This window comes from Homo sapiens, chromosome X, assembly GCF_000001405.40.
Source record: "Homo sapiens chromosome X, GRCh38.p14 Primary Assembly".
NCBI lineage: Eukaryota > Metazoa > Chordata > Mammalia > Primates > Hominidae > Homo > Homo sapiens.
Genome location: NC_000023.11, coordinates 153,651,601 through 153,666,517, shown reverse-complemented (window position 1 = coordinate 153,666,517; position 14,917 = coordinate 153,651,601). Strand labels below are relative to the sequence as shown.

The 14,917-nt window shown below is 43.8% G+C and overlaps 2 pseudogenes; both read right to left on the bottom strand.

Annotated features, from left to right (window-relative positions):
- Positions 2-285, bottom strand: RN7SL687P (RNA, 7SL, cytoplasmic 687, pseudogene; annotated as a pseudogene).
- RPL18AP16 (ribosomal protein L18a pseudogene 16) lies at positions 3,777-4,391 on the bottom strand (annotated as a pseudogene).

Genomic DNA, 14,917 nt, shown 5'->3' with positions numbered 1-14,917 from the left:
CGAGATGAGGTCTCACTGTGTTGCCCAGGCTGGAGTGCAGTGGCTATTCACTTCACAAGTGTGATCCTACTACTGATCAGCACACGAGTTTTGACCTACTCCGTTTCCGACCTGGGCTGTTTCACCCCTCCGCAGGCAACCTAGTGGTCCTCTGCTCCCAGAATATTGATGCTGAACTTAGTACGGACACCTGATGGACATAGCACACTACAGCCCAGAACTCCTGGGCTCAAGTCATCCCCAACCTCCCGAGTAGCTAGGACTACAGGTGTGAGCCACCATGCCACCTGGCTTGTGTTGCCTTTAAGCTCCTCTGTGCCTCAATTTTATGTCCTGTTAAGTGGGAACCAGGGAGGTCTTTGCACAGTGGTGGAAATGGGGCATGGGAGCTGGGCCCTACAAAGATCCCTTTGGAGTTCGGTGTGAGCGATGGCCTGGAAGTGGGGCAGGGCAGGGCTGGTGGCTGGGAGACAAGCCTGAACCATGTGGAGAACAAGGCAAGAGATGTGGGACTACTGGAAAGATGGAGCTTGGTCATCGACTCAATGGGGGTGGTGGGGGGGTTGTGAGGGAGTTGAGGATGCTGCCAGGGAACCCGGGAGAGCAACAGGTCTGTTGAAGAGACGAAGTGACCAAGTCGGGCCCCCTGGCCAGGCGGTGGCTGAGTTGGCACTATAAGCCACATGTTTCTTCCTGCCAGGCACTGTCTGGGCATGTGGCAACCATGTTCTCCACCCCACCCCAGCTTCATCCACGGATCCCTATCACTAGCCCCAACACCAGGTGGGCAAGATAAGAAGTATGGAATGTTTCAGAAATAACAAAGAATCCCGTCTGGTTGAGGGAGGTTGTGAGAGGAGGTGGGTAGAGATCAGCCTGGAAAGTGAACTTTCTCAAGAGGGCACTGGGAGCCACGGACGTTTTAAACAGAACAAGTGACAGGATCTGATTTTTGCTTTAAGATAATTTTTCAATATTTTTCAACCCTATTATCTGCCCCCTTTTGAGAAATAGAAAAAGCCCATGCTTACTATCATGCTGGTCTTTAAAAAACAAAAGCTCATGCCCATCTCTCCAGAGCTCCTCCCTCACACCCCGTGGAGATTTCCACAGTTTCCCTCACCCCAGGGAACCAAGTCTTTCCTCACATGATGTCCTGAGTAGAGGCTCAACTGCTTTTTGCCAGTTTCTCCTTGTAGTTCTTTCAATTATTGCTTTATGTATTTATAAGTTATGTTATTCAGTGTATTTGAGTTTAGAATTGGTATGTATTTTAGGTAAGTTGAATATTTGATCAAAATATAGTGATATATGTTAATACTAGCAATGATTTTCCCTTATAGTCTACTTGGTCTGATATTAACATAGCAACTATAACTTTTTTTGGTTAACATTTAACTGGTATAGTTTTTTCAATCCTTTTCCGTTCAAATTAAAAATTTGTTTTTATTGAGATACAATTCACATACCATAAAATTCACCCTGTAAAACGTACAATTCAGCAGTGTTTAGTATATTTACAGTGTTTTGCAGCCATCACCACCATCTAATTCCAGAACATTTTGATCACCCCAAAAGGAAACCTTGTACACATTTGCAGTAGCTCCCCATTTACACACCGCACCCCCCCCCACCAGTGCTTGGCAACCACTAATTGACTTTCTATCTTTGTGGATTTGCTTATTTCAATATTTCAAATAAATGGAATCATACCATACATGGGCTTTTGTGTCTGGCTTACTCTTACTATGATGTTTTCAGGGTTCATCCATATTGTAGCATGGATCAGTACTCCATTCCTTTTTACAGCTGAAGAATATTTTATTGTATGGATAGACCACATTTTATTAACTATCGATGGACATTTGGGTTGTTTCCACTTTTAGCTGTTGTGAATAATGCTGCTATGAACAACTGTGTGCAAGTTTTTGTGTGGATGTGGATTTTCAATTGTCTTGAGTATATACCTAGGAGTAGAATTGCTGGGCCATATGATAACTCCATGTTTAACTTTTGAAGGAAATGCCAAGCTGTTTTCCAAAGCAACGGCACCATTTTACATTCCCACCAGCAATGCGTGAAGTTCAAATTTCTCTCCATCCTTGTCAACACTTGTTATTGTGTGTGATTTTTAAAATAGCCATTCTAGTGTGTGTGAAATGCTATCTCATTGTGGTTTTGATTTGTATTGCTCTAATGACCAATGATATTGAGCATCTTTTCATGTATTTATTATTTATATATCTTATTTGGAAAAATGTTCATTCGAAACTTCTGTTCTTTTTTTAATTGGATAATTCATCTTTTAATTGTTGAGCTGTAAGGGTTCTTTATGTATTCTGGATATTAGATCCTTATCAGATATATGATTTGTAAATATTTTCTCCCATTCTGTGGATTATCTTTTCACTCTTTGATAGTGTCTTTTGATGCACATGGGTTTTTTTTTTTTTTTTTTTTTTTTGAGATGGAGTTTCACTGTTGTCACCCAGGCTGGAGTGCAGTGGCATGATCTTGGCTCACTGCAACCTCTGCCTCCCGGGTTCAAATGATTCTCCTGCCTCAGTCTCCCAAGTAGCTGGGATTGCAGGTGTCTGCCACCATGCCTGGCTAATTTTTTTTGTATTTTTAGTAGAGACGGGGTTTCACCATGTAGGCCAGGCTGGTCTCGAACTTCTGACCTCAGGAGATCTGCCCATCTCAGCCTCCCAAAGTGCTGGGATTACAGGCGTGAGCCCCCGCGCCCAGCCAGAGAGTGTTGCTATGTTAAAACGATGTTGTTTTCCAATCCATGAACACAGAATATCATTCCACTTATTTTGCTCTTTAATTTTTTTAATGATGTTTTACAGTTTTCAGTGTATACATTTCGCACTTCTTTTGTTAAATTTATTTGTAAATTTTATTCTTTTTATGCTCTTGTACACAGAATTGTTTTCATAATTTCATTTTTGAATTGTTCGTTAAAAGTGTATAGAAGTAACCATTGATTTTCTTTGTATATTGATCTTGTATTCTGCGGCCTTGCTAAACTTTTTATTAGCTCTCTCTCTCTCTCTTTTGGGGGGGACTGGGGTCTTGCTCTGTCACCCAGGCTAGAGGCTGGAGTGCAGTGGTGCAATCATAGCTCACTGCAGCCTTGAACTCCTGGGCTCAAGCAAATCCTCCCCTCTCAGCCTCCAGAGTAGCTGGGACTACAGGAGCAGGCCACCATGCTCGGTTCTAATTTACTTTACTTTATTTTATTTATTTTATTTTATTTTATTTTATTTTATTTTTAGAGATGGAGTCTCACTATGCTGCACACGTGGGTGTTGAACTCCTGGGCTCAAGTAATCCTCCTGCCTCAGCCTCCCAAAGCACTGGGATTATAGGCATAAGCCACCATGCCTGGCCCTTTTTATTAGTTCTAGTAGGTTTTATTTGTGTGGATTCTTTGTGATTTTCTACACACAGCACGTGTCATCTGCAAGTAAAGAAAATTTTTACTTATTCCTTTCCAATTGGGATGCTTATAATTTCCTTGTTCCCTTCCTTTTCTCTTTTTTTCTTTTTGTTTCTCCAGCTTATTGCACTACCAAGAACCTCCAATACTACATTAAATACAAGTGGTAAAAGAATCCTTTCCTTGTTCCTAATCTTAGAGGGAAAACGTTTAGTCTTTCATCATCAAGTATGATGTTAGCTGTGGATTTTTCATAGATGCCCTTTATCGTGAGTAACTTCCATTCTGTTCCTAGTTTGTAGAAAGGTTTTTTTTTTTGGGGGGGGGGTGGGGGGCGTTCCTGAGTTTATTTGGGGCACACCCGGGCGAGGGCCCTGCCCTTAGAAGAAGGTATCGGGCCTCTTGGTGGTGAAGCGTGGTTTGTGCTGACGGCGCAGGACCCTGTGGGGCAGCGGGAACTTGATCTTGGAGTCGTGGAACTGCTTGACGGTCGGCCGGCGGCACTTGCTGGCTGCGATGTCCTCCACCTTCCTGATCTGGATGGAGTGGGCCCGGGCGCGGTGCCGGGCGCCCATGTCTCGATAGCACTTGGTGACAGCGCCCGCGGTGGTCAGGTCCCGGTATTCCCGGTATATGTTGTGGGTGCCGCGCCGGGAGTCATAGCGCAGCCAGATGCCGAAGTTCTTCACCCGCAGGGGGCGCTTCTCAAACACCTGCCCACAGTAGACAATCTCCCCTGAAGACTTCTTCAGCTTCTTTAACTGAGATACGAAGTACCAGAAGTGGGACTTAGCGACGACATGATTAGGAGCAAAGATTCGCATGCGGTAGAGGGGCGGTGTGTGGCATTTGGGGGCGGGCAGGCAGCGACCCACCACCTGGTACTCTAGTCGTGTGCCCGGGGCCTTCATGGCGTCCTCTGCGCTCGCCGCCACCCGCAAAAGGACTGTTTTAAATCATGAATGGATGTTAGATTCTGTCGAATCTTTTTATGCACCTATTGAGAGGATCATACGGTTTTTGTCCTTTTCTGTTCATGTGGTGGATGACACTGAGTTTCAGATGTCAAATCAAGCTTGGGTTCTTGGTATAAATCCCACTTGATGATGGTGCCCAATCCTTAGGTGCTGCTAGATTTAGTTTTTAAATATTGTGTTACAGATGTTTGCATCCAGGAGTTCATGAAGGATATTGATATGTAGCTTTTTTCCTTGTGATATACTTGGTGCAAGGGTAATACTGGGCTGATAGAATGAGATGGAAAGTGTTCTTACTCCTCTATTTTCTGAAAGAGTCTGTGAAGGATTGGCATTAATCATTCTTTAGTTATTTGATAGAATTCACCAGTGAAGCCATCGGGGCTTGGATTTTTTTTGTGGGAATATTTTCAAGTACTAATTCAATTTATTTTCTTGGTATAGGTCTATTCAGATTTTTAATTTATTTTAAAGTCAGTTTTGGTCATGTGTCTTTCTAGGAATTTCTCCATTTCATCTGAGTTGTCCAGTGTTTTTGGCATAAAGTGGTCAAAGCATTCTCTTATAATCCTTTAAATTTCTATAGGTCAGTAGTAATGCCCCCCTTTTCTCTTCTTGATATTGGTAATTTGATTCTCTTTTCTTTTTGGTCACTCTACCCAAGACAATTTTGCTGATTTTTCAAAGAGCTGACTTTTCTTTTCATTGATTTTTCTCTATTGTTTTCCTGTTTTCAATTCCATTAGTTTCTGTGCTAATCTTTATTTCCTTCCTTCTGCTTGCTTTGGGTTTAGCATGCTCTTCTTTTTCTAATTTGTCAAGGTAGAGACGTAGGTTATTAATTTGAGATCTTTCTTTTTTTGCTGGTATAGGCCTTTAAAGCTGTAAGTTTCCTTCTAAGTACTGCTTTAGCTGCATTCCATAAATTTTGATATGTTTTGTTTTCATTTTCATTCTCATTTCATTCTTTCTAATTTCCTTTGTTTTTTATTTGACGTGCCAGTTATTTAGAAGAGTGTTGTATAATTTCCAAGTATTTTGGACTTCCTAGGTTTCTATCTTTTTAGATTTATAATTTAATTCTGTTGCAGTCAGAGAAATATTTTATATTATTTAAATTATTTAAATTCCTTTAAATATATTGAGACTTGTTTTATGGTCTATCCTGGAGAATGTTTCATGTGCACTTGAAAAAAATGTGTATTTGGCAATTGTTGAATGGTGTGTTCTATAGGTATCAGTTAGGTCAAATTTGTTGATAGTGTTGTTCAGATTTTATATATCCTTGCTGATCTTCTGTCTAGTTCCATCAACTATTGAAAATAGAGCATTGAAATGTCCATCTGTTATATTTGAATTTTCTTTTGTATTTTTAGTAGAGACAGGGTTTCCCCATGTCGGCCAGGCTGGTCTTGAACTCCTGACCTCAAGTGATCTGCCCGCCTCGGCCTCGCAAAGTGCTGGGATTACAGGCGTGAGCCACCGTGCTGGCCAATTTTCCTCTGTTGATTTTTAATTACATTGAAGCAGAAATTTAGACATAAACATGCTTCATTCACTCCAAGTTTGAGTTATTTTCTTAGGGTTTTCTCTAGCTATTACATTATGAGTCTTAACTAATCACAATCCACCTCAGATGAATACTCACTTAATTTTGGTGAAATATGGAGACTTTGCCTCAGTATGGCTACATTCTTTCCCACTTCTTTTGTGCTAGTAATGCCATGTTTATTACATCTATATAGGTTATAAGCCCTGAAATACAGTGTAATACCTATTTTTTAATGCAATCTTATGTTTTTAAAAGAGAAGAAATGAATAAAAATATGTTGAGAGGCTTTTATATTAGCTCACTTATTAACCATTTTTTCTGCTCTCCATTTCTTACTTTGAATTCCAGTTACTAACTGGTGTCATTTCCTTTCAGCCTGAAGGACTTCCTTGAGTATTTCTTGTAAGGAGGCAGGCTAGCAATGAACTATGTTAGCCTTTGTTTATCTGGGAATGTCTTTTTTTAAACCTTCAATTTTTTTTTTTTTTTTTTTTTTTTTTTTGAGATGGAGCCTCTCTCTGTCACCCAGGCTGGAGTGCAGTGATGTGATCTCGGCTCACTGCAACCTCTGCCTCCCAGGTTCAAGCGATTCTCATGCCTCAGCCTCCCAAGTAGCTGGGATTACAGGTGCATGCCACCATGTCTGGCTAATTATTGTATTTTTAGTAGAGACGGGGTTTCACCATGTTGGTCAGGTTGGTCTCGAACTCCTGACCTCAGGTGATCCGCCTGCCTTGGCCTCCCAAAGTGTTGAGATTACAGGCGTGAGCCACCGCACCCAGCTATGCACCCAGCTTCAATTTTTAAAGCATAGTTTTGCTAGATATAAAATTTGGGGGCTGGGTGCAGTGGTTCACACCTGTAATCTGAGCACTTTGGGAGGCTGAGGCAGGCAGATCATTTGAGCCCAGGAGGTTGAGGCTGCGATGAGCTGAGATCACACCACTGCACTCCAGCCTGGGTGACAGACTGAGACTCTGTCTCAAAACAAATTTTTTTTGGTTGATAGTATTTTTTTCTTTCAGTGCTTTCAGTTTGTTGTTCCACTCCCTTGTGGCCTCCATTGTTTCTGATGAGAAGTCAGATGTTAATTTTATTGTGGTTCCCTTCTATATGGGTCATTTATTTCTTCTGCTATAATACTTTCAAAATTGTCTGTCTTTGGCTTTCGATAATTTACCATGAAATGTCTATGAGTGGCTCTCTTTGTGTTTATCTCACTTGGGGTTATTCGAACTTCTTGGATCTGATGAATGCTTTTCACCAAATGCTGGTGTTTAGCCATTATTTATTCAAATATTTATTCTGCCCCTTTCTCTTTCTCCTCTTCCTCAGAGCCTCCAATTACACATATCAAAATATGTGTTCAGTTTTAAGTCTGTTCTGGTTTTACTTCTTCTTAGGAGACACTGATGACTTGCAGGCTCCTTACATGCTGGACCAGAAACTGAAATTCCTCTCTGTCACCCAGGCTGGAGTGCACTGGTGTGATCACGGCTCACTGCAACCTCCACCTCCTGAGCTCAAGCAATCCTCCTGCTGCAGCCTTCTGAGTAGCTGGGACTATAGGTGTGCACCACCACGCCTGGCTAATTTTTTGTATTTTTTTGTAGAGATGGGGTTGTGCCATACTTCCCAGAGTGGTCTTGAAGTCCTGGGCTCAAGCAATCCATATGGGCCACATTTTTATGTCTCTTCTATCTGAGTCAGAAAGCCGGGATGTAGAGCTCTCCTAGTCTGTCTCCTTTCTCTCAGGGACCACAGTCCTTCACTGATTGCTGTCCCCCATCTGAAAACAATGGATTTTCATATATTTTGCCCAATTTCTAGCTGTTTATGGTGAGACAGTAATTCTGGACCCTCTTATTCCCTCATGGCCGTATTGATATTGAGAGACTTTATGTTTTGTTAAGACAAATATACATGTTAAATTTTTTAGAGTAACTAGAATATAAATAGGATGTACTACTTCCAAACTAGTAGAAGAAAATAGCAAATAATGAAGGAAAATTCAGCTAATCACAAAAAGGTCAAGTAAGGGAAATAAAGAAATGGAAACGGGGCTGGGCGCGGTGGCTCACGCCTGTAATCCCAGCACTTTGGGAGGCCGAGGCGGGTGGATCACGAGGTCAGGCGATGGAGACCATCCTGGCTAACACGGTGAAACCCCATCTCTACTAAAAATACAAAAAATTAGTCACACGTGGTGGCGGGCACCTGTAGTCCCAGCTAATTGGGAGGCTGAAGCAGGAGAATGGCATGAACCCAGGAGGCAGAGCTTGCAGTGAGCCGAGATCGTGCCACTCCAGCCTGGGCCACAGAGCGAGACTCCGTCTCAAAAAAAAAAAAAAAAAAAAAAAAAAGAAACCAAAACGTTGGAATAAGCAGAAAGTATAACATAATATGTTAAAAATAGATCCAAAAAACATTAAGCAAAATAAATAGATTAAATTATCCAGTTAGGATTTTTAAAAAATCCAGCTATAAGCTGTTTATAAGAGATATATCTAAAGAATAGGGCCAAAAAAGGCTGAAAGGGCAGGACTGGCTGGGCACAGTAGTGGCTCACGCCTGAAATCCCAGCACTTGGGGAGGCCAAGGCGGGAAGATCACTTGAGCCCAGGAGTTTGAGACCAGTTTAGGCAACATAGTGAGACCCCCGTCTCGACAAAAAAATAAAAAAATTAGTTGGGTGTGGTGGTGCGAACCTGTGGTCCCAACTACTTGGGAGGCTGAGGCAGGAGGATCACTTGAACCGGGAGGTTGAGGCTGCAGTGAGCTGTGATTTTGCCACTGTACTCCAGCCTGGGTGACTGAGTGAGACCCTGTCTGAAAAAAAAAAAAAAAGAGAAGAAAAGAAAAAGAAAGGGCAGAACCTCCAGCTATGGCCAAACGTGGATAACAGCAAACAACCTCCCCAAAAAAGTAACTATAAAGCTGGACCAAACTGACAAAAACAAGCTTTTTGATCTGGAAGTCAACGGAAGATGACTCATAATCCAAGTGGCTGGATTTTGAGTAAGAACAGCGGGAGTCTGTGGCATTCTGGCCCAGGGCTGCTCCCATCCCTCCTGGCTTGCTGGACATGGAGGCTATGCCAAGGCGGGGAAGGCCATGAAGACCAGCAGCTTCTCCCCATAGGCTTGAAGGGCGCTCGCTCATTTGGATTGGTGGGCAACACCTGTGCCCAGTGGTGTCATCGGTGGAAGTGACTTCTTGGAGGTGGGCGGGCTGGGAAGGGCAAACAGATCAGCTCTACTCAACTGAGGCTATGGATGTGCTTGCGGCAGTATATTTCTAGCTGACCAGAGACTGGAGGGGTCCCATGCTACTCACGCTCTCCTGGACTGCCCTGGGACTATGCACGTGTATATAAGAGATGTGAGAGGGCCCAGTGGAAAGGAAAGCCCAGAAGACCTTAAAGCAGCCTGAACATTGAATAAGCTCCCCTACCCACACCCAGACCCAAGGACACAAGCCTTACTGGCTTGAGATGTTTGAGCACAGCTTCTGTCCAGTCATTGGCTGACCACCAAGCTAGGCAGATACAGGGTAGCTCCTAGGAAACCAGGCTTAAAATTTTTAACTAGAATATATATTTTTTAAATGGAAAAAATCTTCCCTGCCAGCCCACCTCCAAGAAGTCACTTCCACCGATCATGCCGCTGGGCACAGGTGTTGCCCACCAATCATCCAAATGAGCGAGCGCCTTTCAAGCCTATGGGGAGAAGCTGCTGGTCTTCATGGCCTTCCCCTCCTTGGCATAGCTTCCATGCCCAGCAAGCCAGGAGGGATGGGAGCAGCCCTGGGCCAGAATGCCACAGACTCCCGCTGTTCTTACTCAAAATCCAGCCACTTGGATTATGAGACATTTTCCGTTGACTTCCAGATCAAAAAGCTTGTTTTTGTCAATTTTGTCCAGCTTTATATAAAGTTACTTTTTTGGGGAGGTTATTTGCTGATATCTGCATTTGGCCATAGGTGGAGGTCCTGCCCTTTTTTTTTTTTTTTCCAGACAGGGTCTCACTCAGTCACCCAGGCTGGAGTGCAGTGGCAAAATCACGGCTCACTGCAGCCTCAACCTCCTGGTTCAAGTGATCCTCCTGCCTCAGTCTCCCACGTAGCTGAGACCGTAGGTGCGCACCACCATGCCTGACTAATTTTTTGATAGTTTCAGGGCTTTTTTTCTTTTTTTTTTTTTCTTTTTGAGACGGAGTCTCGCTCTGTCACCCAGGCTGGAGTGCAGTGGCTGGATCTCGGCTCACTGCAACCTCCGCCTCCTGGGTTCAAGCGATTCTCCTGCCTCAGCCTCCTGAGTAGCTGGTATCACAGGCGCCCGCACCACCATGCCCAGCTAATTTTTGTGTTTTTAGTAGAGACCACGTTTCACCATGTTGGTCAGGCTGGTGTCGAACTCCTAACCTCAGGTGATCTGCCCGCCTCGGCCTCCCAAAGTGCTGGGATTACAGGCGTGAGTCGCCGTGCCTGGGCCTTCTTTTTTAAAAAAAAAATTAAAAAAAATTGTTTTTGTAGAGACGGGGTCTCACTATGTTGCCCAAACTGGTCTCAAACTCCTGGGCTCAAGTGATCTTCTCGCCTTGACCTCCCCAAGTGCTGGGATTGAGTGTATGAGCCACCACTGTGCCCAGCCAGTCCTGCCCTTTCAACCTTTTCTGGTTCTACCCTTTAGATGCGTCTCTGGTAAACAGCTTATAGCTGGATTTTTTAAAATCCAGTCTAACCGGAGAATTTAATCTATTTATTTTGCTTAATGCTTTTTGGATCTATTTCTTTTTTTCTTTCTTTCTTTCTTTTTTTTTTTGAGACAGAGTCTCACTCTGTTGCCCAGGCTGGAGTGCAGTGGCTCGATCTTGGCTCACTGCAAGCTCCGCCTCCCAGGTTCATGCCATTCTCCTGCCTCAGCCTCCCAAGTAGCTGGGACTACAGGTGCCCGCCACCACGCCCGGCTAATTTTTGTATTTTTAGTAGAAACAGGGTTTCACCATGTTAGCCAGGATGGTCTCGATTGCCTCACCTCGTGATCCGCCCGCCTCGGCCTCCCAAAGTGCTGGGATTACAGGCGTGAGCCACCGTGCCTGGCCGTCTTTTGGATCTATTTCTAACATATTATACTTTCTACTTATTCCAATGTTTCTGTTTCTTTATTTCCCTTACTTGACCTTTTTTTGATTAGTTGATATTTTCCTTCATTATTTGCTTTTTTCCTCTACTAGTTTGGAAGTAGTATATCCTATTTATATTCTAGTTATGCTAAAAAATTTAATATGCTTATTTGTCTTAACAAAATGTAAAGTCACTCAATATCAATATGACCATGAGGGAATAGGAGGGTCCAGAATTACTGTCTCACCATAAACAGCTAGAAACTGGGCAAAATATATGAAAATCCATTGTTTTCAGATGGGGGACAGCAGTCAGTGAAGGACTGTGGTCCCTGAGAGAAAGGAGACAGACTAAGAGAGCTCTACATCCCGGCTTTCTGACTCAGGTAGAAGAAGCATAAAAATGTGAGCCATCATGAGAAGAAAAATCGGTCAATAGAAACAGACCCAGGGGAGTTTCTGTTGCTGGTCCAGTGTGTAAGGAGGCCAGAAGTCATCGGTCTGTCCTAAGAACGAGTAAAAGTGGAACACATTTAAAATCAACAACTCCTCTTAGATTTATCAGAGAATTGAAGTCACTGGGCAAAATGCTGCCCCCAAAATTGGGGAGACAGACAGGTGGGCACAGAGAATCACAACTTAGCAGAGCAGGAGGCCAGGCACAGGAACCAGTGCTGGCGTAGGGACACCCGAACTGCAATTGCTGAATTGCTGGGGGCTCAGTGCGGACAAGTCTGAGAGTTAAAACTCTGGGATGGGGCAGTCTTTTGGGGCTCCCATACTTTTGTAAGTTTTACCTTTAGGAGCTCAACCAGGTTCTCACAGTGAGAAAAATCTCATCATGCTTCTGGCAGGGGGAGGGGAAAGTGGTCATTTTGAAATACGCCCAGGGCGTTCCTTTCTTAACTAGGCCTGCCCTCAAGAGTAACCCTTACCAGGCCCAACCTATTAGGGTTTTGGCGGAGCCTAACTGACCTGAGGGAAGCGAAATACCCAACTCAGTCTTTTGTAGCCATCCTGGCCCACCTAAGCGGGGCACAATCTGAGAAGCATTGGTGAAATTCACAGTCCAGGGGCATAGGCACGCCCAAAGACAGAAACCTAATCACAGGACTGAATGCTTTTCCTCCCTCCACATTCTGCTGTATCACTACGGCCTATTCGCAGCAGGTCCTTTTACCCAGTATGTGTCCAGCTTTTGACAAAAAAAACAAAAAGTAAAAAAAAGACAAGTCATACTAAAGGCCAAAAAACATAGTTCAAAAAGATAGAGCCAGTACCAGAAGCAGACTCAGCTATGACAGGGGTGTTGGAATGATCAGACCAGAAGTTTAAAATAACTATGATTAAAATGCTAAGGGCTCTAATGGAAATATGAGACAATATGCAAAAACATGGCCACAATTAGCCGCAAGGGAGGATGGGAAATAAAGTTTTTAGCTGTGAAGCCATACACGCTATTAACCTTTGGGCATTTTATTTCTAAAAAGGAGAAGCAGAGAATGGATACTGGGGGACACTCAGCAGTCTCTTCCACGGTGTCTTTCATCAGTTTTGGAAATTTCTCAGGCATTGTTTATTAAAATACTTTATATTCCCTATTCTCCTTTTTTTCTTCTAGAAATCCAACTAAATATATGTGTGACCTGTCTGTCTTATTGTCTGTCTGTGCTGCATTCTGGGTAATTTCCTTAAATCCATCTTCCAGTTCACTATTTCTTTCTTCAGCTATGTTTAATATGCTGTTTAAACTTTAAATGTCCAATTTCAATTGTCATATTTTTCATTTCTAGGAGCTCTTTTTGGTTTTCTTTCAAGCGTATCTAGTCATTTTATATTCTCTTGCTTTTTTATTACAGTTTCAATATTTCCTTTTATTTCTTTAAGCATATTAATTATACTTATAGTCTGTTATATAATTTCAAAGGCTGCTATCTTTGCAGGACTGATACTTGAATTCACATGCTAAATGTTTCTATAACTCATGGTGGCTTGTTTCCTTGTACATTTTAGGATTTTAAAAAATTACGTATTTTGGAATTTTCTATAGCGGTGCTTTGAGGCCTGTGTTTAAAGGACATCCCTCCCTCCACAGAGGATTTGTGCTTGCTTCTGCTGGTCACTCTGGAGCAATATGACCTCTGAACCACTTCATTTAAAACTTAAATAGGCCAGGTGCGGTGGCTCATGCCTGTAATCTCAGCACTTTGGGAGGCTGAGGCACTGCACCTGGCCTATTTAAGTTCTATATTGAGACCTTGTTTCTAAAATAAGAAACTTTAAAAATGTATTTTATTTATGTTTTAAACTGCTATTTTTATTGGGCTGTCACAATCTCAGTAAACCCTGTAGGTAAGATAGTCGAATGCAGCTTCAAGACAAATCCAGGAGCCTTCTCCAGCAGCCAGATCACTGTTTCTTGTTTTGTTTTGTTTTGTTTTGTTTGTTTGTTTTGAGACAGGGCCTCACTCTCACTCTCTCATCACTCTGTCACTCTGTCATGCAGGCTGGAGTGCAGTGGCGCAATCCCAGCTTACTGCAACCTCCGCCTCCTGGGTTCAAGTGCTTCTTGTGCCTCAACCTCCCAAGTAGCTGGGATTACAGGCACGTGCCACCATGCCCAGCTCAGTTTTTTTTTTTTTTTTTTTTTTTTGTATTTTTAGTAGAGACAGGGTTTCCCCATGTTGGCCGGGCTGGTCTTGAACTCCTGACCTCAGGTGAGCCTCCCAAAGTACTGGGATTACAGGTGTAAGCCACCGTGCCCGGCTGAATCACTGTTTCTAAGTACCTCTGAGAGAGATTCTGGAGTGTCCACTACTCTATGCCTAGACCACTCTAAAAGAACAGTTCAGCTTGTGGCTATAAGCTCTCAGGGGAGGGGGAACATTTTCCTTTTATTCCACTTCCCCCCAGATCCAAGGTCAAGATCAGCACACACCCTCTTCTTTATTTGGGATATATCTTCCTAGGTCACCTGTTCTAGTAGATTTCTGTGGCTGCTGTAATAAATTACCACAGAGTTAGTGGCTTACAGCAACACAGATTTCACATCTTCCATTTCAGTAGATCAGCCATTCAAAATAGATTTCACTGGACAGAAATCAAGGTGTTGGTGGGGCTGCGTTCCAGTGGAGGGTCCTGGCTCCTGGGCTAACCCCAGAGTGGCTTACTCCGCTGGCCCAGAGGATTCACCTCATTTCTCAGTTCATCACCTTGCTCTTCCTTTCCTACCAGCTCAGCCATTCACGCATATGCCTTTAGATTGTGGGTTCTGGGCCACATTGCTCCAAAGCCTCCACAGCTTTCTCTGGCTGCACTCGCTCCCCGCCACCCTCCAGCTGCCCTTCCCCTCTACTACATGTCCATGGTGGAGAGTCACAGCCTTATAGACCCCACCAGTTATGGTGTGGAGAAGGCACTTGCAGTGTCCCAATATGAGGAGAGGTGCAGTTCACCTCTGTCCCTTTAGGTGGCCCGTTGGTCTCCATGTTCTCCATGGGGCTCTTCTAGTCCCCAGCCTGGGCCTTTGCAGCCCAAATTCCACAGCCAGACAACCACAACACTCACATGTGCCAGTCTGCCCACACCCCTCCCTGTCACTCTCAGGATGCCACCCAGCCGGGGCAGCCCTCAGGAGGCTCCAGGCAGGGCTCGGGGCTGACTTGGCCGGTGTCTCAGGGATCAGTTGTGAGTGCTGGCCCCTCACTTTTCTGCTCTGTCCATGGCAATGAACGTCTACGGCACAACCGCAGTGCTGTGACTGTTGCATTTGTCGTTTCTTCCCCCACTAGAAAGTCTGCTGTGAGCAGGCGGAGCTCAC